This window comes from Homo sapiens, chromosome 15 (assembly GCF_000001405.40).
Source record: "Homo sapiens chromosome 15, GRCh38.p14 Primary Assembly".
Taxonomy (NCBI): domain Eukaryota; kingdom Metazoa; phylum Chordata; class Mammalia; order Primates; family Hominidae; genus Homo; species Homo sapiens.
In genome coordinates, this window is record NC_000015.10 from 100,947,006 (window position 1) to 100,969,822 (window position 22,817).

Here is a 22,817-nt window from a genome sequence, read left to right on the forward strand (position 1 = left end):
TGTCACCAGGCTGGAGTGCAGTGTCACGATCTCAGCTCACTGCAACCTCCGCCTCCCAGCTTCAAGCGATTCCTCTGCCTCAGCTGGGATTACAGGCCCGCACCACCATAACTGGCTAATTTTTTTGTATTTTAGTAGAGGCGGGGTTTCACCATGTTGGCCAAGATGGTCTCCATCTCCTGACCTCGTGATCCGCCCGCCTCGGCCTCCCAAAGTGCTGGGATTACAGGTGTGAGCCACCATGCCCAGGCTCCAGTTTTCAAATCAAACAAAACACAGGATTAGGCAGTTTAATTTAGTTAATAGAAAAAAATAGAAACAATTGATAAACATAGAAAATACACTGTGCCCATTCCTATGGAAAGAAATGCAAATGAAAACCAATTATGAGATATCTTATTCTGTTTTACAGATTGGAAAAATCAGAAAGTTTGGTATTATTTAATGTAGTAAGACTATCGTTTTGTTCTACTTTATATATATTTTTTATTCTCAATATTTTAACTCAATATTGGAGTTAATAATTGAGGCTATCTTGAAAAGAACTTATTGAGCAGAAATTGGCAATATTTATTAAAATTAGGACTGAGTATATCCTCTGCTCCTTCCGCTGCTGGAGATTTTATAGTTGCTACGTGGGCAGAAACGCATATGCATTTCCCAGGATGTTTATGTCAGCATTGCAGAGACTAAGGAAAAACTGGAAATGCCCTAAATGTTCATCCATGAAGACAGGAAGCTATCATGAAGAAGAGTGTGCTAGATCTCCATGTGCCTATGCAGAAGAACTTTCAAGCAGGAAAAACAAGATGCAGAACATGATTATCGTATAATCCATTTGTTAAAAAAGTAGAGGAGGAGAAATGAATATTTATGTGAGATCCAGGGAAACGTGAGCTGCTCCATGACCTTTGTCTGCACAGTGATGTATTCAAAGGAAACTCCAGCCTGGAATCTTAAAATCAACAAGCAGCTGAAGTCTTTAAGACAGTTGCTTGACAAGGCATCCACGGGGAATTCCACTGAAAGCACACAGACACACTGCTGAACTCCTTTGCCCAGCTCTTCCCAAAAAGCTCACAAAATACAGTCTCTGTCATCAATCTTAAACCTCGTTCTCTCAAGAAAGCTCCCAGGTGCTACCCCCAAAGCCAGCTTGTCTTGTTATGCATGTAGGTTTCTGTTTCTGAGTCTGTCTTCCTCCACATCTGCCCTTTCCAATGCAGACACCTCAGCCCCTCGGCACCCCTTCCCTGCCTGCCCAGCACCAGGAAGGTGCACTTGGACTTCCTTAGGGTAAAGGAGGAGGCAGAGGCGGCCAGATGGGACACCTCCTCATGGGTTTCGTCCCCGCCGTTTGAATGTGACTTATGAATGCACGGAGGTCATGAAAGGGATGTAGTTTTGCTAAGTATTGGTAAATTCCCCTCCCTGTGGGTTGTACCATTTTGCATTCTCTCCACCAATTAAAGAGCATGTTTGTTTCCTCATATTAACCCTTTGTCTATACGTTGCAAATTTTTTTTTCTAAGTCGCCATTTGTCTTTTTACCTTGTTTCTGTGTTTTGAGATGTGGAGTTGGAGTTTTTATCCTTATATGTTTAAATGTTATGTTTGGCCATAAAACAAGCCTCCATAAATGTAAAAGAATGGAAATCATACAAAATATATTCGGTGACCACAATAGAAAGAAGTTAGAAATCAATAACAGAAAGAAATTTGGGAAATTCACAAATATGTAGAAATTAAACAACACACTATTAAAGAACGAATGTGTTAAAGAAGAAATCACAAAAAAACAGAATATACTTTGCGATGAATTAAAACAAAAACACATCACGCTAACACTTAAGGGATACAGCTAAAGCAGTGCTCAGAGTAAAATTTATAGCAGCAGCTACCTATATGTAAAAAAGAAGAAAGATCTCAAATCAATAACCTAAACTTCCACCTTAAGAAACTAGAAAAAGAATAGACTAAACCGAAAGCAAGTAGAAGGAAGGAAATAACAAAAATTAGAGCAGAAAAAAATAAAATAGAGAATATAAAAGCAGTAGGGAAAATCAGTGAAATCAAAAGTTAGTTCTTTGAAAAAACCAACGATTTTTGTTGACAAACCTTTAGTTAGAATGACCTTAAAAATAAAAAGGAGAAGGCTCAAATTACCAAGATCAGGAATGAAAGAGGAACATCGCTGGCAACCTTATAGAAATAAAAAAAGATTATAGGAAAATACTGTGAACAATTTGCACCAACAAATTCAATAACCTAGATGAAATAAAGTCCTAGAAAGACACAAACTATCCAAACTGACTCAAGAAGAAGTAGAAAATCTAATTACACTTAAAACAAGTAGAGAGACTGAATTAGTAATAAATAAATAAGTAATTCCCCACAAAGAAAAGCCAGGCCCAGATAGTTTCACTGGTGAATTCTACCAAACATTTAAAGAAGAGTTAACATCAACTTCACAAACTCTTCCAAACAATAAAATATGGAAGAATACTTCCCAATTCAGTCTATGAAACCAGTATTACCCTGAAGCCAAAACCAGAAAAAGATCTCACAGGAAAACTACAGACCACTACCTCTTTCAAATATAGATGCAAAATCTCAACAAGACACTAGCAAACCGAATTTAGTAACACATAAAAAGGATTATACGCCATGACCAAGTGGAATTTATCTTAGGATTCCAAGCTTGGTTTAACATCAATCAATATAATAATCCATATTAATAGAATAAAGGAGAAAAAATATATGATCATCTCAATAGACACAGAAAAGCATTTAACAAAATTCACTACCCTTTGATGAGAAACACTCAGTAAACTAGTAATAGAAGGAAACTTCCTCAATCTGATAAACTGCATCTGTTAACAAAAAAAAAACCCATAACTAACATCATACTTAATAGTGAAAGACTGACTGCTTTCTCCCTAACATCAGGAACAAAACAAGGATGTCCACTCTCACTACTTCTATTCAACATTACACTGGAGGTTCTTGCCAGGGCAAAGACAAGAAAAAGAAATGAAATCCAAATTGGAGAGGTAAAACTATATTTTCCGGTGACATCATACTGTACGTAGAATATTCTAAACAACACACAAAAGACAATTAGAACTAATAGTTCAGCAAATTTGCAGGATGCAAGATCAAAATGTAAAAATCAATTGTGGTTGTATGAATTATCACTTAACAATCTGAAAATTTAATTAAGAAAACACATTTACAATAGTATCCAAAAGAATAAAAAATTTGGGAATAAATGTAACAAAAGAAGCGTAAGATTTATACACCAAAAACTGCAAAACATTGTGGAAAGAAGTTAAAAAGAACCTGAATAAATGAAAAAACATTCTGTATTCATGGATTGGAAGACTTAATAATGGTAAGATGGCAATACTCCCCAAATTGACTTATGCATTCAATGCAGTCTCTTTAAAATCCTAGCTGAAATTCTTACAAAAATGGCAAGATGATTCTAATATTCAAATAAAATACAAGAGAATGGCTAAACCTATAAAACTCTTAAAAGAAAACAGGATTAAATCTTTATGACCTTGGATTAGGCAATAGTTTCTCAGATACTACACCAAAAACACAAGCGACAAAAGGAAAAATAGGTAGTAAGTTGGACTTCATCAGTTAAAAATTTTTGTTCTTCAATAGACATAATCAAGAAAGTGAAAAGAACCTGTGAAATGGGAGAAAATATTTCCAAATTATTTATCTTTAAAGGACTTGTATCTGATTATATAAAGAACTCTCACAATTCAGCAACAAAAAAACAACCCAATTTAAAAAAGAGCAGGCCGGGCGCGGTGGCTCGCGCCTGTCATCCCAGCACTTTGGGAGGCCAAGGCGGGCAGATCACGAGGTCAGGAGATCGAGACCATCCTGGCTAACACGGTGAAACGCCATCTCTACTAAAAATACAAAAAATTAGCCGGGCGTGGTGGCGGGCGCCTGTAGTCCCAGCTATTTGGGAGGCTGAGGCAGGAGAATGGCGTGAACCCGGGAGGCGGAGCTTGCAGGGAGCAGAGGTTGCGCCACCGCACTCCAGCCTGGGCTACAGAGTGAGACTCCGTCTCAGAAAAAAAGAGCAAAGGGTCTAAACAGACTAAATAGACATTTATCCAAAGAAGATGTGAAAATGGCCAATCAGCACATGAAAAGATGCTCAACATCATTAATCATTATGGAAATGCGAAGCAAAACCACCATGAGATACCACTTCACACCCAACAGAAAGGACAACAGAAAGACAGATGGAAAATGGCAAGCGGTAGTCAGGATATGGAGAAATTGGAGCGTTCATTCATTGAAGGTGGGACTGGAACATGCTGCAGGCAGTTTGGAAAATGGTTTGGCAGTTTCTCAACATTTTGAACATGCAATTACCATATGACCCAGCAATTCCACTCCTGAGTATATACACAAGAGAACTGAGGGCAGATATTCACAGAAAAACTTGCACATAAGTGATCACGGTAGCATTATTCCTAATAACCAAAAAGTGGAAAAACCCAAGCTCCCATCAGCTGATGAATAAATAAACAAATGTGGTCTATTCATACAGTGGAATATTACGCAGCAATAGCAAGGAAATAATAGCATTACTAGCAAGTATGAATTAATACTTAATAATTAAATAATAAGGCCGGGCATAGTGGCTCACACCTGTAATCCCAGCACTTTGGGAGGCCGAGACAGGTGGATCATCTCAGGTCAGGAGTTTGAGACCAGCCTGGCCAACATGGTGAAATCCTGTTTCTACTAAAAATACAAATATTAGCCAGGCATGGTGGCATGCGTCTGTAATCCCAGCTACTTAGGAGGCTGAGGCAGGAGAATGGCTTGAACGCGGGAGGCAGAGGTTGCAAGTGAGCTGAGATCGCACCATTGCACTCCCACTTGGGCAACAAGAGCGAAACTCCATCTCAGAAAAAAAAAAATAATAATAATAATAATAATAAAATAATAGTATTATTAAGAGTAAGTACTAATATATGCTACAACATGAATAAGTCTTGAAAACATGCTGAGTGAAAGAACTAAGTCACAAAAACCATATTGTATTATTCCACGTATATGACATGTTCAGAAGAGGCAAACTGTAGAGATAGAAAGTAGATTAGTGGTTGGCAGGGACCTGGAGGAGGAAGTGGGAACTGACTGGTATAAGCGTATATTTGCAGGGTGGTACAAATGTTTTAAAATTAGAAAGCGGTGATAGTTACACAACTCTGTGAATATATTCAAACCCACTGAATTGTACACTTTTAAATGGTGAATTTTATGATACGTGAATTATCTCTCAATAAAGCTGTGATCTTTTAAATGTGACCGATGTATCCATCTTTTATTACTTCTGGGTTGTGAGCCACAGTTAAAGGGGTTATACACTCCCAGGCTAAAAAGGAATTTGCCTGTGTTTTCTTCTAATGCCTACATCGTTTTATTTTTTTACATTATATCTCTAATTCATTTGGAATTATCTTGGTGTTTCACGGGAGTAACGGATCTGATCATATATTTTTCCATGTGGCTATCCAGTTGGACAAACACCATTGATTAGCCCACTCTTCTTTGTGGGGCCCTTCTCACAGGACCTGACTCCTGCCCTGGCCCACTCTTTCCTCTGATGGAGACAGCATTCAATCCCAGCATACCTTTCCCTGGAAATGGTATCAAATGCTTGTCAGGCTTTCAGGTACATCCACGTTTTATCACAGTAATCATTCCCATCAGTGATTTTTATGGTGATTAACCAGACAATTAACTCGGCTGCCTCCAGGTTTTAAGTCTGCGTCATAAAGCTTACATCTTACTTGGGAATATTACTGGGCATTCCTTATGCTTTAAGCAAGATCTTTTAACAGAATCTATTGACCAAAATTAACTCTAGGGCCACTCATTTGAATGTTGGCTAATCTCATTAAGCAGCATTTTTATTCACTTACTTTACAGTTTTATTGAGGTATAATTGCCAAATAAAAATTATATATTTCATGTATATAATGTGATTATTTGATATACATAAATGTTGCAAAATGATGAGCATAATCAAGTTAATGAACACATCTACCATTTCACATAATTACCTTTGTGTGCCCGTGTGTATTAACAACACTTAAGATCTACTCTTTTAGTAAATTTCAAGTATACAATTCAGTATTATTAACTATATACTCAACAGGCTGTACATTAGATCCCCGAACTTACTCATCTTATAACTAAAAGTTTGTACCCTTCAACCAACACCTCCCTATTTCTCCCATGCCCCAGCTCTTGGCAACCACCATTCACTCTCGGCTTCTTTAATTTGGACTTTTTAAGATTCCACATATAAGTGAGATCATAGAGTATTTGTCTTCTGTGTCTGGCCTATTTCACTTAGCATAATGTTCTCCAGGTTCACCCATGTTGCAAATGACAGAATTTACTTCCTTTTAAAGGTTGTATAGTATTCCATTGTGTGTGTGTATGTGTGTGTCTATATATATATATATATATATATATACACACATATGTATATGTATATAAGCCATATTTTCTCTCTCCATCTGTCAAAGGACACAGGTTGTTTCCATATCTTGGCTCTTGTGAATAATGCTACATACCGTTAATATGGGGTTACAGATATCTCTTCGAGATACTGATTTCCTTTCCTTTGGGTAAATACCCAGCAGTGGGATTTCTGAATCATAGGGTAGTTCTATTTTTAATTTTTTGAGGAGCCTTCATACTTTTTCCCATAATGGCTGCTACCTTACATTCCCAGCAACACTGTATGAGTGTTCCCTTCTCCTTGTCAACATGTGTTATCCTTGTCTTTTTTATAATAATCACCCTAACAGGTGTGAGGTAATAACACATAGGTTTTTTTGTTTGTTTGTTTGTTTTGTTGTTGTTGTTGTTTGAGACACAGTCTCACTGTGTCCCCCAGGCTGGAGGGCAGTGGCACAATCTCGGCTCACTGCAACCTCTGTCTCCCAGGTTCAAGCAATTCTTCTGCCTCAGCCTCACCAGTACCTGGGTCTACAGGCACACACCACCACGCCTGGCTAATTTTTGTATTTTTAGTAGAAATGAGGTTTCATCATATTGGCCAGGCTGGTCTCGAACTCCTGACCTCGTGATCTGCCCGCCTCGGCCTCCCAAAGTGCTGGGATTACAGGTGTGAGTCACCGTGCCCGGCCTAACTCATGTTTTTAATTTCCATTTCCCTGATGATTAGACGTGCCGACAACCTTTTCCTATACCTTTGGTCATTTGTATGTCTTCTTCGGAAAATTTTTATTCAGGTCCTTTGCCCATTTTAAAAATCAAGTTATTTAGCTTTTTTTGCTATTAAATCATATGGGTTCTTTACACATTTTGAATATTAACCCCTTATCAGATATATGGTTTGCAATATTTTCTCTCATTCCATAGGTTGCCTTTTCATTTTGTTGATTGTTTCCTTTGCTGTGGTTTTTAGTTTGATGTAATCCCATTTGTTTATTTGTGCTTTGGTTGCCTGTACTTTCAGTGTCATATAGGAAAGATCATTGCCAAGAATAATGTCAAGGAGATTTTTTCCTATGTTTTCTCCTAGGAGTTTTACTGTTTCATATGTTTTAAGTCTTTAATTTATTTCTAGTTAATTTCTGTGCATGGCATAAGATATGGGTCCAATTTCATTGTCTTGCATGTAGATGTCCAGTTTTTTTCGACACTATTTATTGAAAAGGCCATTCTTCTCCATTGTGCATTTTAGGCACCTTTCTCAAAGATTAGTTATTTGTATATGCATACATTTATTTCTGGACTCTCCATTCTGTTTCACTGGCCTATGTGTCTATTTTAACACATAGACCAATGCATACAATTAGAACCATACTGTTTTGCTTATAATTTGTAACACAGTTTTAAATCAGGAAGTGTGATGCTTCTAGCTATGTTCTTTCTCAAGATTGCTTTGGCTAATTGGGGGTCGTCTGTGGTTCCATACAAATTTTAGGATTTTTTTTTCTATTTTTGTGAAAAATGCCATTGGAATTTTGACAGGAATTGCATTGAGTCTGTGGATCACTTTGAGTAGTATGGACATTTTAACAGTATTAATGCTTCCAATCCATGGAGACAGGATATCTTTCCATTTATTTGTGTCTTTTTCAATTTCTTTCATCAATGTCTTATAGTTTTTAGTGTATAGATCTTTCTGCTTCTTGGTTAAATTTACTCCTAAGTATTTTCTGTAGCTATTGTAAAAGGGATTGTTTTCTTAATTTCTTTTTCTAAAAGCTTATTGTTGGTGTATAGAACTGCAAATGATTTTTTGTATGTTGATTTTGTGTCCTGCAACTTTACTGAATTTATTTATTAGTTCTAGGAGTTTTCTGGTGGAGTCTTTAGGTTTTCTGCATATAAGATCATGTCATCTGCAAACAGAGACCAATTGACTTCTTCTTTTCTTATTTGGATGTCTTTTATTTCTTTTTCTTACCTAATTTCTCTGGCTAGGACTTCTAGTAGAAGTGGCAAGAGTGGGCATACTTGTCTTGTTCCTGATCTTGGAGAAAATGCTTTCAGCTTTTCACCATTAAGTATGATCATAGCTGTAGGCTTGTTTTATATGGCCTTTATGATATTAAAGTACATTCCTGCTATAACCAACTTGTTGAGAATTTTTATTTTGAAAGGATGTTGAATTTTTACTAATGTTTTTTTCTGCATTTATTGAGTTCATTATATGATTTTTATCCTTTATTCTGTTAATGTGGTGTATCGTGTCTGTTGATTTGCATATGCTGAACCATCCTTGCTTCCCAGGCTTAAACTGAACTTCATAATGGTGTATGATTTTTTTAATGTGCTGTTGAAATGAGTTTGCCTGTATCCTCTTGAGGATTTTTGCACCTAAGTTCAGCAGGGATATTGGTCTGTAATTTTCTTTTCTTATGGTGTTTTTATCTGGCTGTGGTAGGAGGTATTGCTAATCTTGTAAAACAAGTTCGAAAGTCTTTATTGTCTTCAATATTTGGAAGAGTTTAGGAAGGACTGGCATTCACTCTTCTTTAAACGTTTGGTAGAATTCACCTGTGAAGCCATCTATCTGATTCTGGGCTTTTTATTGTTAGGAGGTTTTTGATTACTTCCTCAGTCTCTTTACTCATTATTGGCCTGTTCAGATTTTCTATTTCTGTATGACTTATTTTTGATAGGTAGTATGTTTCTAAGAATTTATCCATTTCTTCCAGGTTATCTAATTTGTTTGTGTATAATTGTTATAGTAGTCTCATAATACTTTGTACTTCTATTATACCAATTGTAATGCCCCCTATTTCATTTATAATTGTATTTATTTGAGTTCTCTTTCTTTTTTTTCTTAGTCTAGCTAACGATTTGTCAATTAAAAAAAAAAACTCTTACTTTCGCTTTTCTTTCCTTTTTTTTTTCTTTTTTTTTTTTTTTTTTGAGACAGAATCTCACTCTGTCACCCCCAGGCTGGAGGGCTGGAGTGCAGTGGCACGATCTTGGCTCACTGCAGCCTCCACCTCCCGGGTTCAAGCAACTCTCTGCCTCAGCCTCCTGAGTAGCTGGGATTACAGGCGCCCACAACCACGCCTGGCTAATTTTTGTGTTTTTAGTAGAGACAGGGTTTCACCATCTTGACCAGGCTGGTCTTGAACTCCTGACCCCATGATCTGCACTCCTTGGCCTCCCAAAGTGCTGGGATTGCAGGCGTGAGCCACCATGACCAGCCTGATCTTTTCTATTATCTATTTAGTCTCTATTTCGTTTATTTCTGCTCTAATACTTATTTTCTTTCTTCTAACTTTGGGCTCAGTTTGCTCTTTTTCTAGTTCCTTAAAGTGTAAAGTTAGTTTGTCTAATTAAGATATTTCTTTTTGCTTAATGTAGGCATTTCTGGCTGTCAACTTTCATCTTAGAACTGCTTTTGCTGTATCCCGTAAGTTTTGGTATGTTGTGTTTCCTTTTCGACTTGTCTGAAGATACTTTCTGATTTCCTTTTTGATTTCTTCTATGACCCATTGGTTGTTCAGGAGTATGTGGTTTAATTTCCACATATATGTGGATTTTTCCATTTTCTTCTTGTTATTGACTTCTAGTTTTACACCATTATGATAAGAAAAGAAACTTGATAATATTTCCATCATCTTAAATATGTTAAGACTTGTTTTATGGCCCAACATATGACATTTCTTGGGGAATGTCCCACGTGTGCTTGAGAAAAAATTATATTCTCTCGCTGTTGAAGGCATTGTTCTGCATATGTCTGTTAGGTCTATTTGGTCTATAGTATTATTCAAATTCACTGTTTTCTTATTAATTTTCTGTCTGGATGATCTATCTATTATTGAAAGTAGGGTATTGAAGTCCCCTACTATTATTATATTGCTATATATTTCTCCCTTCAGTTCTGTTAATATTTGCTTTACTTATTTATGTGCTCCAATGTTAGGTACATACATATTTAAAATTAGTACACTCTTTTAATGAATTGACCCCTTTATCATTATATAGTGACCTTCTTTGTCACTTCTGACAGATTTTGACTGAAAGTCTATTCAGTCTGGTATAAGTATCGCCATTCTTTAGCTCTTTTGGTTTCATTTGCATGAAATATCTTTTGTCATTCCTTCACTTTCCATCTATGTGTATGTTTAAAGCAAAAGTGGATCTCTTATAGGTAGCATATTGCTGGTTCTTGGATTTTTTAATCTATTCAGCTACTGTGTGTCTTTTGATTGGAAAAGTCAATCCATTTATATTTAAAGTAGTTACTGACAAGTAAGGACATACTTTTGCCAATTTTTTAATTATTTTCGGATTGTTCTGTAGTTGGCTGTTGTTGTTGTTGCTGAGACGGAGTCTCACTCTGTCACCCTGGCTGGAGTGCAGTGGCGTGATCTCTGCTCACTGCAACCTCCGCCTCCCAGGTTCAAGTGATTCTCCTGCCTCAGCCTCCTGAGTAGCTGGGATTACAGGCAGCCACCACCACACCCAACTAATTTTTGTGTGACAGGGTTTCACCATGTTGGCCAGGCTGGTCTCAAACTCCTGACCGCAAGTGATCTGCCCGCCTTAGCCTCCCAAAGTTCTGGGATTACAGGCATGAACCCCCACACCCAGCCTGTTCTGTAGTTCTTTTGTTCTTTTCTTTCTCTCTTTGTATCTTCCTTTTTAATTTGTTGTTTTTCTGTAGTAGGTTAAGCAGCATTTTTAAATAAGGGAACTATCAGAGTAAACAATTGGGGCCCTTCATTTTGGCACAAACATGTATACTGAATATTTATTGAGCTTCAGCTGTATGCTGGGCAGCATGCAGGAATATGGCTGTTTCCACTGGTATATACTGTCCTGTCTGGAGTTGATGTTTGGGTGTTTTGGATACGTCTGTACCTCTGCTCCCCAGCAAGCCCAGCAAGGGTGCTAAAGCAAGGCTTTTGTCTTCCACTTCTTGGCCTCACTAACATTTGACCCATAGCTAAGTAAATAAGATTCCAATACCCACTGACTTATTCATTTGAATAGGCATGATTCATCCCAGATGGCTAAGGAATAAGATAGAAACCCCAGACTTCACAGTTTTCAGAGAGGGGCCAAATTTCTAACTTAACTTCAAATAACAATAATAGTAGCTAGCATTTATCTAGAGCCTCTCGGGGTCAGGCAGTGTTCTAAGCACTTCTCGTGCTTCCATCCACTTGACCCTCACAATAACCCCTCTGAAGTAGGTGCCACCATCCGAAGTGGAGAGGACGGAAATGTGCAGGGCCTGGAGGTGGGCCCAGGAAGCAGCGCGGGGTCAGCATGGTGGTCACACTTCTCCGTTTCTCTCCCGGGCTCTCTGTGCTCTGGGACTTCCTTCCCTGCCAACGTTTTGCAGTCATGTATTTCTGGGCAGTGTGTATGACTAAGGTCTCAGATACTTTTATGACTTGGAAAGCCCCCACATATTATCTTGAAAGAGTTTACATTTTGACCTGATATGAACCCTACCACTGTTGTGCTGAAGTGACCAGACCTTAGGGAAGGGTTGGAGGGGGATGTGTGGCTGAGTGGCCAAAAGAAAATCATTCTTGGAAAGGAAAATTTAGAAGTGCCTGAAGGCATCATTCTCCTCCTCTTTTGCTGGGAGAATTCTGTACCCCTGTGGCCGTAACTGTAGATGGGCAAAATTATAGACGACCCCCTTACTAATATGCAGAGAGCTCTGGACGGTCAACAAATTGAAGTGGAGAGGCTTTCAGTGATACAGTCTAGATAGGCACCCACGGCAGTGAGTAAGCAGAACCCAGCCTGCGGGCAGCCCTGGGCAGAGCAGGAGGCTGGCAGACCTACTCTGCAGGGGACAGTCCAGGACCCAGGTCAGACCACGTGCAGGCGGAGAAAGGAGAGGCAGCCCGCTGGGAAATTCTGCAAGTCCTTTCTGGGGTGCACCCCTGCGCTAGGCTAGAAGGAGGAGAATTTCGAGAAGCATGGAAAGCGTAAGGGCTCCTTCCAGATAAGGCAGACACAGGAACAAAAGCTAAGGGAAGCTTGGTCCATAGAGGAAATGAGAGTGCAGTCTGGCAGCCTCACAGGCACCTGGAGTAGGGAGGAAGGGGCCAGGCCTCCTGGAAATCACCCCCATTTGTGTGCTCACCGCTTCTCTTTGTGTATGTATTTTTTTATTCATATGCATTGTGCAATATCTTTTATATGTGCCATTTTCTTTTACAAGAAGATGATAATATTCAGACATCTTAAATACTTGCCAAACACCATGCTATGTCAAATAGCACAGCTGGGGCTTGAAACCAAGTCTTCCAATGTACAGAGTTCAGTTCTTCCTGTAACTGCGGGTTTTCACACAGTTCTCAGTAGATGGCATGATTGGAAAACTCTCGGTGCCTCATCCTAAATGTTCCTTTCAGATTGAGACATTTTCTTCCTTTCCTTGCACTCATTTTTGTTGGGAGGAAGTTAAATCCAGTTAGCAAATGTACTTTGTCAACCTGAAAAGCATTTTTTTTAATATAACAATGTTGTTATAGTAGTAATAGAGAAATAACTGGAAAATAGAGAAAAGGGTCTCGAGAAGTTCACCTTGAATTCCGCCACGTAAGAAAAACCAGAGTTATCGTTTTGGGGGCTTCCTCCTTGACAGTTTTCCTGTTTGTGTAGTTCCAGGGTCTGTGCATTATAATTGTCAAAATCACCGTTCTTTGCTCTACTGAACAGTGCTGCAATCAGCATCTACGTTCATATTGCTTTTTTTTTTTTTTTTGCATAGTGCTTTTTAAATGTGTAGAACTATTCTTTTGGAATCAGTTTCCCAGAAGCAACGTGGCAATGTCAAAGGGTGTCCTAATCCTCCAGTATTTATAATCACAATCATCTTCCCCAAAATCGGAGTAGGACTGACTGTGTGTGTGTGTTTATCTTCGAATTGTACCATTTTCTATAGTATTACTGAGTATTAAATAAATGAACTGTCCTATTTATGTGATTTTTAATTTTCCAAAAAGATGGTTCTCCTTTTTTTACCAGGTCAGTTTTTGTCTGTTGGCTCTCCCAAGTCCCTCAAGCATCCCCTTTTGGGTAAAGGGCATGGTTTCTGTTGTGGGTGTTTGAAAGTAAACTCTGGAAATACTGTAGCAGCGCACTTGAGCTCTTTCTGTGTGTCTCAGCAAGCTGTGTCCCCAGGGTCCAGCTCAGCACATAGGAGGTACTAAATATTTGTAGAACGAATGAGCAATAAATAAATGAATTTTTGGAAGAGGAACAAAATCTAGGAAAGAATTCATCTTCATAGCTTTGTATTTCTGTGTTTCTCTTCTTCTACAGCAGAAAATTAATGGAGGGATTGGTTTCCATTTCCTCTCCGTTTTTTCCATCTAATGAGACAGGGTCATCTCATGTTTTCGTTCCCACATTTCTGCCATGCATGTTAGGTGCTGAATAAGAGTCTCATGTTTGGCTGTTGTCTTAGTTCGTTTTCTGTTGCTATAACTGGATGCCAGAGACTGGGTAATTTATAAAGAAAATGAATTTGTTTCTTACAGTTCTGAAAGCTGGGAGGTCTATGGCTGAGGGGCTGCATCTGGTCAGGGCTTCTTGCTGGTGGGGACTGGCTGCAGAGTCCTGAGGTGGTGCCGGGCATCACATGGCAAAGGGCCTGAGTGTGCTGGCTCAGGTCTCTTTTCCTATTCTTATAAAGCCACCAGTCTTATTACAGGGTCCCCACCATAGTGACCTTATCCAATCTTGATTATGTCCCAAAGGCTGCAACTCCTAATACCATTACAATGGGGATTAAGTTTCAACATGAATTTTGGAGGGGACATTAAAACCATAGCAGTTGGTGGCTGGGCGCGGTGGCTCACGCCTGTAATCCCAGCACTTTGGGAGGCCAAGGCGGGCAGATCACGAGGTCAAGCGATCAAGACCATACTGGCCAACATGGTGAAACCCTGTCTCTACTAAAAATACAAAAATTAGCCGGGCATGGTGGTGCGTGCCTGTAATCCCAGCTACTCGGGAGGCTGAGGCAGGAGAATCACTTGAATCTGGGAGGCAGAGGTTGCAGTTAGCCGAGATCGCGCCACCGCACTCCAGCCTAGCAACAGAGTGAGACTCCGTCAAAAAAAAAAAAAAAAACCATAGCAGTTGGGAACACACAACCTAGGAAGCAGAGGATGAGCTTTGATGGCAGGTGCTGGGGGTCCAAATCTCAGCTCTGTTGTTGGGAGCTGGGTGGGGGAAGTTTCTCTAACCACTCAGGGCACTGGTCACCTTGTGGTGAGTGATGATGAGAAGCCTAGCCTTGTATGGGTGTTGGGAGGAAGTCAAATGCACGCAGGACACTTTCTACAGCATCCGGCAGGACTCAATAAATGGCACCAATGACCAATACATGAAACATTATTATAAACCATTTTATTTTATCTTTCAAAATCTGGGACACCTGTGCCAATTTTTGTTCCATGAGACTTCCTTGCTCTCCATCCTTTTTTCTAGAGCAACTGAGTCAAGATTCGGTAGATTGAGAGCAAACAGTTGCTTCAATATAGATAATACCACTGAAGAACTGGTTCACTAAGCCAGGGTGAAACACAGTTAACATTTTGCTGGACATACTTCATCTTTTAATTTTTTTTTCTTAATTTCAGCAGCAATACAAGTTACTGCAAAAAATATATTGAAAAACACAGAAAAATAGAAATATTTTTAAAACTCCAGGCTGGGCATGGTGGCTTATGTCTGTAATCCCAGCACTTTGGGAGGCCAAGGCGGGTGGATCACTTGAGGTCAGGAGTTCGAGACCAGCCTGGCCAATGTGGCGAAACCCTGTCTCCATTAAAAATACAAAAATCGGCTGGGCGTGGTGGCAAACACCTGTAATCCCAGTTACTCGGGAGACTGAAGCATAATAATTTCTTGAACCTGGGAGGCAGAGGTTGTAGTGAGCTGAGATCACAGCACTGCACTCCAGCCTGGGTGACAGAGTGAGACCTTGTCTTAAATAAATAAATAAATAAAATTTTAAAACTCCAGTCATTTCATCTGCTGAAGGGGACGGCTACTGTAATTTTTGTGTGTCCTTTAGATTTTCTTTCTAAACAGAGACAGGGAGAGGGAGGAGAAAAGAGTGTCAGGTTCAGGTTTTACAAACAAAAATAATAGACTGTATGTATTATCTATATTCATAGACTCATTAGGGACCTTTTCTCAAAGGATTTTAATCACAAATAATCAGAGAACCTAGAATAAATTATTTCATTTTGCATATATATATATATATATATATATATATATTTTTTTTTTTTTTTTTGAGATGGAGTTTCACTCTTATTGCCCAGGCTGGGGTGCAATGGCGCAATCTCGGCTCACCACAACCTCTACCTCCCGAGTTCAAGCAATTCTCCTGCCTCAGCCTCCTGAGTAACTGCGATTACAGGCATGCACCACCATGCCTGGCTAATTTTGTATTTTTAGTAGAGATGGGGTTTCGCCATGTTAGCCAGGCTGGTCTTGAACTCCCGACCTCAGGTAATCTGCCGGCCTCGGCCTCCCAAAGTGCTGGGATTACAGGCATGAGCCACCACGCCCAGCCCATTTTGCGTACTTTTAAATGGTGTCCATCTGTGTTCTGTGTTTTTCCTGTGGTTTGTCACGGCCTCTGTCCTATGTTCTACTTTTAGCTTGATAGCTGGTAAGCATTTTTTCACCCTTCTCCTTAGTCTTCATTGTCATAGGTTCTGATGGCCGCATCCGAGCCCCTTATTCTGAAGCACCAGCAGGTATTAACTTAGAAAGCCGAGTAGCAGCGACTCTGTGGGCCCCAGCGTCAGGATGCTTCCCCTCCGGCTGCTCGTTGCCAGCGCTGTTGTTCTGTGAACCTGTGTCACTGTCTTGGCCTTGTTCCTCTGTAAAATGGCAGCAGAGTCACCTCCTTCCTAGCGCTGCTGTAGACGTTAAGTGACGTGAGTCCAGTCCCCAGGCCTGTGCTGGCCCTTGGGCACCACCCTGCTCTACACCACTCCCTAATCCTTGGCCTGGGCCGCTTGTCTGCAGAGTTGCTCTTACCTCGGCTGTGGCAGGGACCTCTGCAGAAGTCCTGGCTCGGGAGTAGTCTTTTAGTGTGCACCGTGTCATTTCTGTAGGGAAATGCCTAGAAGAGAAAACCGTGGGAGAACAGGCCGACTTCCCGCTTTTGTTATGTAGTACTGCCCTCCCGCTTTCTGAAATGACCATCCGGTTGGCAAGGCCTCCCACGATGGCCAATGGACCAGAGGATGCACCCATTTCCCCACACTCATGACAGCAAGGAATGTTATAAGCCTTTCAATGTTTTACTGTGTCAGGTGGACATAACATAGCATCTTGTGATTAATTATATTTTTATTACTAAAGCAAATAGCACTTTTCCATGCAATTTTCCCCCAGGAGACCAACCTGTCTATATGTATAACCATCCATCTCCCTCTTATTAACAAAAATTCCTAGTGATTTGGTGAGTATATCCACAAAATGGTAATCTATGCCGTGAAGCATTTCTGCAGTGAGAAATGCTAGCCTCTGGGCCAGAACTGTTAGTGAGAGCCCGCAGAGCCCGGCCCTGGCTTTTGCTTTCCTGTCTGATGCGGGTGGAGGGCCTGGGTGATGGGTGCAATGGCCCTGAGCACCCACCATCTGGAGAGGAATTATCACCGCAGATCACCCCGGGGCTGGGTGACCCTCCCTCCTCTGCACACCCCCAACCTCCACATCTTTCCCAAAGACGTCAAGGGTTGGATTTCACCGTAATATGACCCAGAGATGTAAACGGCTGCTGATGCTGAAACGCTAGAGTGATATCTGGTGAAAAAAGAAGCATCCTTCCAGTGGAAGGCTGGCAAAGCTAGGGCAACAGAGGGCGAGCCCCCAAAGTGCCAGGAGGGTGTCACCTCCCGGGAAGGCCAGCCCCGTTTCCCTGGTGCTTTGGCCACATGGGGACTCAGTGGCACAGGAAGGTCGTTAAACAACTATGACCAGGTCAGTAGCATCCTGAAGTTTACTTTTGTTTGTTCTGCAATGAGCTGTGGGCTGGTAGATCATTTTCACTTTTTGCTGCTCTATTGACGGAGGCAAATGCAATAAAATAAAGTCATGGATATGCAAATCAAACGGCAGTGTCTTTTCTAAGATTTACAGAGGATGTCACACACTTCAGATTGACCAAAAACATTTGCCTTTTATTCTAAGTGTTTTCCTTGGTGGGGAGAAGAGAAATACACACACACACACGTGCACACGCATGCGCGCACACACACATGAGGCCAACATTTAGAACTTACATAATTAAAGCCATTTTTTTCATTTCATTTTCTCTATTTTCCTAGATTTGTAGGGAAAAAAAACAGTACAAAGAGAATTTTATTCCAATGATTGGGACAGGAGTGATGACTTAACAATTATTGCTCTGGAACAAAATGTAAGACTGTCTCCTTGGAACATAAGGACAGACAGAACCAGGGATGGACAGACTGGGGCGGTGTCTTTCAAGGTGTACCTGCAGAACAGTGAGCTGCCTGCCGTCAGAGACACGGTTGTCACAGCCAGCATTACTCTGTCATATTCATGGAATTCTGTTTTATTACTCTTTCAGAATACTGAAAAAGAAAAATAATTTCTGTTAGTTTTTCTGTAATTAGAATAATTTGTTTTTTCTGAAACATGAGTTATGGAAATGATGTTTAAAGACTGAGTTATTGGCAGCTAAAATCACTTCTTCTTGAAATGGCTGACTGTGAAACACACAGTATCACTGAAGGTATTTCTTTAAAAATAGTATGTTAAATTGAAAGCAATTATCAAGAACTAAATGGTGTTCAGGTCCTACAGGTTTTTAAATATTTTATGTTTTTTCTAACCAAATGCTTCTTTATGTAGGAACTTTAACTTACCATCCATGGCCGGCACATTGAAATACCAGCATACAGTGAAGACTAACACTTATCAACAACCAGAAATATGTTCACTTACAAGCTCAGAGCTTATTGTAAATGTTTCTTGTCATCTTGAATGGCTGCACATGTGCTGACTCCATAACCCTAGCTATTCACTGCATTTATAATTTCATTTTCCCTAACCAGTTCCTACTTCTAACCACTGCCTTTAAAAATCAAACTAGCAACACCAACCAAACCTGAAAAAAAAAATCTCCCTGGTGCTATTCATTTATCCTTCTCCTCCTTTACTTCGTTAAATACTTCATTGGAATGTATTAGCTTTACATTAAAAGCAAGTAAGATGCCTGAAAATTTGGAAATTTTCATCACCATATATGAAAATAATGACATAAATTATAATTTAGAGAACCAAAAGGATTTTCTAAAATTTGAAACTGCATTATAGCAATGTTCTACTATTATTTTCCTACTAGCTCTAGCTACTTATTTGGGACATTAATGTGTTATTGAAATAGAATGTTTGCTCCATTTTATTTTTTAATATGAATTTGAAATCTTTATGAGGAAAATATTTAGAACTGAGATATTTTACTGTATAAAAGAATATAATTATGGATAATAGTTGATGAATAAGCACAAGTAACTGAATAATCTCAAATAGTATAAATGTGTTTCCTACATTTTAAGTTTAAATCAAAAGTTACCAATTCTCAAATACAAAACAATAGTATTTTGGAGAAAAAAATGACTAAATAAGTATTATCTCTAGGAAAAGGTGCAGAAGTTCTAAATTTTGATGAAGCCTAATTTAACAATTTTTCCTTTCCTGGTTATTGTTTTCTGTGGCGGTGAGGAGGGGCTTTTGCCTTTATATTTATTTCTGAACTATTTAATTTTTTTTCAGTGAGAATGTGTTCTTTCATTACTTTTGTAGTGTCTGTAAAGTTTTGAATGAAGCAGTCATATATTCCCATCACGCAGGTCTTGGGAAATAAAGAAGAAAAATCTTTTCTAGTTCTGTCATGAAGTCCCCCATGGCCCATGCCTAATACTCACTATGGTCAAAGCATTTGGGTCTTTTTTCTTTCAATTTAAATAAAGGTTAACCATTCTCTGTATAATTTCAGGAAATTAAATGAGATTGGCAGATTAAATTAAATGCATACGCATTAACTGGTGCCTTTTCCTAATGTCCTTCCAACAACTTGATTGGACCAGACCCTCAGCCCACAGGGTCGGTGAGAGTGGATATGGTGTCACCCTGCAACTTAAGAAAGTCAGAGTCGAAACAGATAAACACCACAACATTTTTATAATGTAAAGAAAACTGAGCAGGTTCTAGATTCTTATTACATCATTTACTCCACACACAAGGCATGATTGAAAAATCAAGTTAAATCACCCTTGTAATCTCATGGGCACCTTATGGCCTACATATGCCCTAAGTTCCACCTTCAAAATGTCCCTTAACTTGGGCTTAAAGGTTTAGCTGTTTGTATGTATGTTCCTAACATGGACAGAAGAGGCTACTTCATACCTGCTTGTGCATTCACACATACACATACCTGCACATGTCTTTTACTGGATAAGCGGGTATTTGTTTAATTCTGAGAGACAAGCAATGACATAATTAAGTGCCCCCATCTGAGGGATGACAGCAGTTGATTCTATTCCTTCTGGGCCCTGCTAATGGCCTTTCTCCCTCTGGCCTGCTCTCACATGTCCCAGGGGCTCTGCCTGTAAATAATTAATGGTGACTGTTAATGTGTGTTGGGAAGTGAAGCTGCCTTATTCACACGTATAACCGCTTACACACCAAGCCTTTTCCCGATTCCTCTTTTCAAAAGCACACAGCCAAGACACAATAATCTCCACTCAGACACAGCAATTCTGTGTTGGCATCTCAGGAATGATACAGATTGTGTGTGATGGTCATCCATTTACTTGGATTTTCAGGACGATTGCCTTTGAAATGGAGCAAGTCATGGCTTAGCGTGAGTTGTAAAGACCCTGGATTGGTATTAGGGGCTTTGCTCCGTAAGCAGCTTGCCTTTTTTCTTTCTGCAGAGCAGGATTTTTCCTGGGAGCAGGATTTTCCAAAGGGAGCTCTTTGGTGGCAAGAGCTCATACCTTGTGTCATATGGCAAGCCATGCATTTGGAGTATAGACATTAGGACTCATATTTTCTCCCAACATTTTGTTATGAAAAATTTCAAACATACACTAAAGTAGAAAGAATTGAACCATCTATATTCATATACCTACCACTCAGATCACACCATTAACACTTTCCAAAATTTCTCTCTTGCCTTTCTATCCAACCATCCACTCATTTTTAATGCATTTCAAAGCATATTGCAAACATCTGTACACTTCACTCTTAAATACTGTAGCATGCATAGTATGGACTAAGGTTCAATATTGTTTGTAGTTTTTTTAGGTAAAATATATATAAAGTAAGATGCACATATCTTAAATGGACTGCTTGATAAGTTTTGACAAATACAGCAACTGTGTAATGAAAACTCCAGTGAGATATAGAACCACCAAACTGATGTCCTTGTGCCCCATCCACAGGAAAACTCACTGTCTACCATATGGCCACGATCCACCCTTCTGATTTTTTTTCACTATATCTTAGAACAGCATATAAATGGAATCATTTTTGTACAAGGTTTCTTTCACTCAGCATTATTTTTTTTGAGATTGCTATCAGTCTTTCCATAGATCAATCGGTCCTTCCTTTTTATTGTTGAGTAGTTACTGTACCACGGTTTGTTTATTCATTCTCCTGTGGATGGACACTTGGGCTATTTACAGTTTGGAAATATGAATAAGGCTGCTGTGAATATTGTTGGATACATTTCTGGACATATTTCTCTTGGTTAGATAAGAATGGAATTTATGGGTCACAGGGTAGGTATACATGTAGTTTTATAAGAAACCACCAGACCTGTTTCCAAAGTGATTGGACCATTTTGCACTCTAGCCAGTAAGGTATGAACATTCTGGTTGCTCCATGTCCTCACCAAGTAGTGTTGGCCTTACAGTTTTAGCCATTCTGGTGAGAGCATAGTGGTATCTCATTGTGGTTTTAATTTGCATTTCCCTGATGACTAATGACATTGAGCTTTTTGAATATTTTTTTGCTGTTTAAATCTTTGCCCTCTCTCTTTCTTTCTTCCTTTTCTTTTTCTTTCTTTCTTTCTTTTTCTTTCTTTCTTTCTTTCTTTCCTTCCTTCCTTCCTTCCTTCCTTCCTCCCTTCCCTTCCCTTCCCTTTTCCTTTCTTTCTTTCCTTCCTTCCCTTCCCCTTTCCTTCCCCTTTCCTTCCCCTTCCCCTTCCCCTTCCCCTTCCCTTCCTTTCCCTTCCCTTCCTTCTGTTTTGTTTTTTTGAGACAGGGTCTTGTTCTGTCACCCAGGCCAGTGGAGTGCAGTGGTGTAGTCACAGCTCATTGAAGCCTTGACCTCCTGGGCTCAAGCCATCCTCCTACATCTCAGCTTCCTGAGTAGCTGGGACTACAGGTGTGCACCACCATGCCCGGCTAATTTTTAAAATGTTTTGTAGAGACAGGGTCTACTTGTTTCCCAGACTGGTCTCAAACTCCTAGGCTCAATGGATACACCCACCTTGGCCTTCCAAATTGCTGGGATTACAGGTGTGAGCCACCAGGTCCAGCCTGCTCATTTTCAATTGGATTGTTTGTCTTTTTATTATGGAGTTATACGAGTTTTTATATTCTAGATACCATTTATTTTCAGATATGTTTTGAAAATACGTTATTGTAGTCTATAATTTGCCTATTTAACTTTAAATGGGGTCTTTTGAGGGGCAGAAGTTTTAAATTTTGATGAAGCCTAATTTAGCAATTTTTCCTTTCCTGGTTATTGTTTTCTGTGTCCCATGTAAGAAAGTAAGTAAAGACTTACTCTCAAGTCATGAAGATAATCTCCGCTATGTTTTCCTAGAAGCTTCATAGTTTTAGCCTTTATGTTTAGGTCCATGATTCATCTCAGTTATTTTTTCTTTTTTTTCAAGTTTTTTTTTCAAGTTCAGGGGTACATGAGCAGGATGTGCTTGTTTGTTACATAGGTAAACATGTGCCATGGGGATTTACTGCACAGATCATCCCATCAGCCAGGTATTAAGCCCAGCATCCATTAGCTATTCTTCCTTATGCTCTTTCCCCACCCTCCCTCACCACAGGTGCCCAGTGTGTGTTGTTCCCCTCTTGTTTCCATGTATTCTCATTGGTCAGCTCCCACTTATAAGTGAGAACATGTGGTATTTGGTTTTCTGTTCCTGTGTTAGCTTGCTGAGGATAATGGCTTCCAACTCCATCCATGTCCCTGCAAAGTGATAA

The 22,817-nt window shown here is 39.6% G+C and overlaps 1 protein-coding gene across 1 annotated transcript in view, besides 1 other annotated feature; it reads left to right on the plus strand.

The window, feature by feature from the left end:
* LRRK1 (leucine rich repeat kinase 1) overlaps positions 1–22,817 on the plus strand; it is a 158,901-nt gene that overhangs the window by 27,649 nt on the left and 108,435 nt on the right. The gene's annotated exons all lie outside the window — the stretch shown is intronic.
* Positions 11,742–11,791: an enhancer, noted in NCBI's record as "active region_10179". NCBI's record gives its function as "activates an Ori minimal core promoter by ATAC-STARR-seq in GM12878 lymphoblastoid cells {active_cell/tissue: GM12878}" and the evidence as "EXISTENCE:reporter gene assay evidence [ECO:0000049][PMID:35858748]".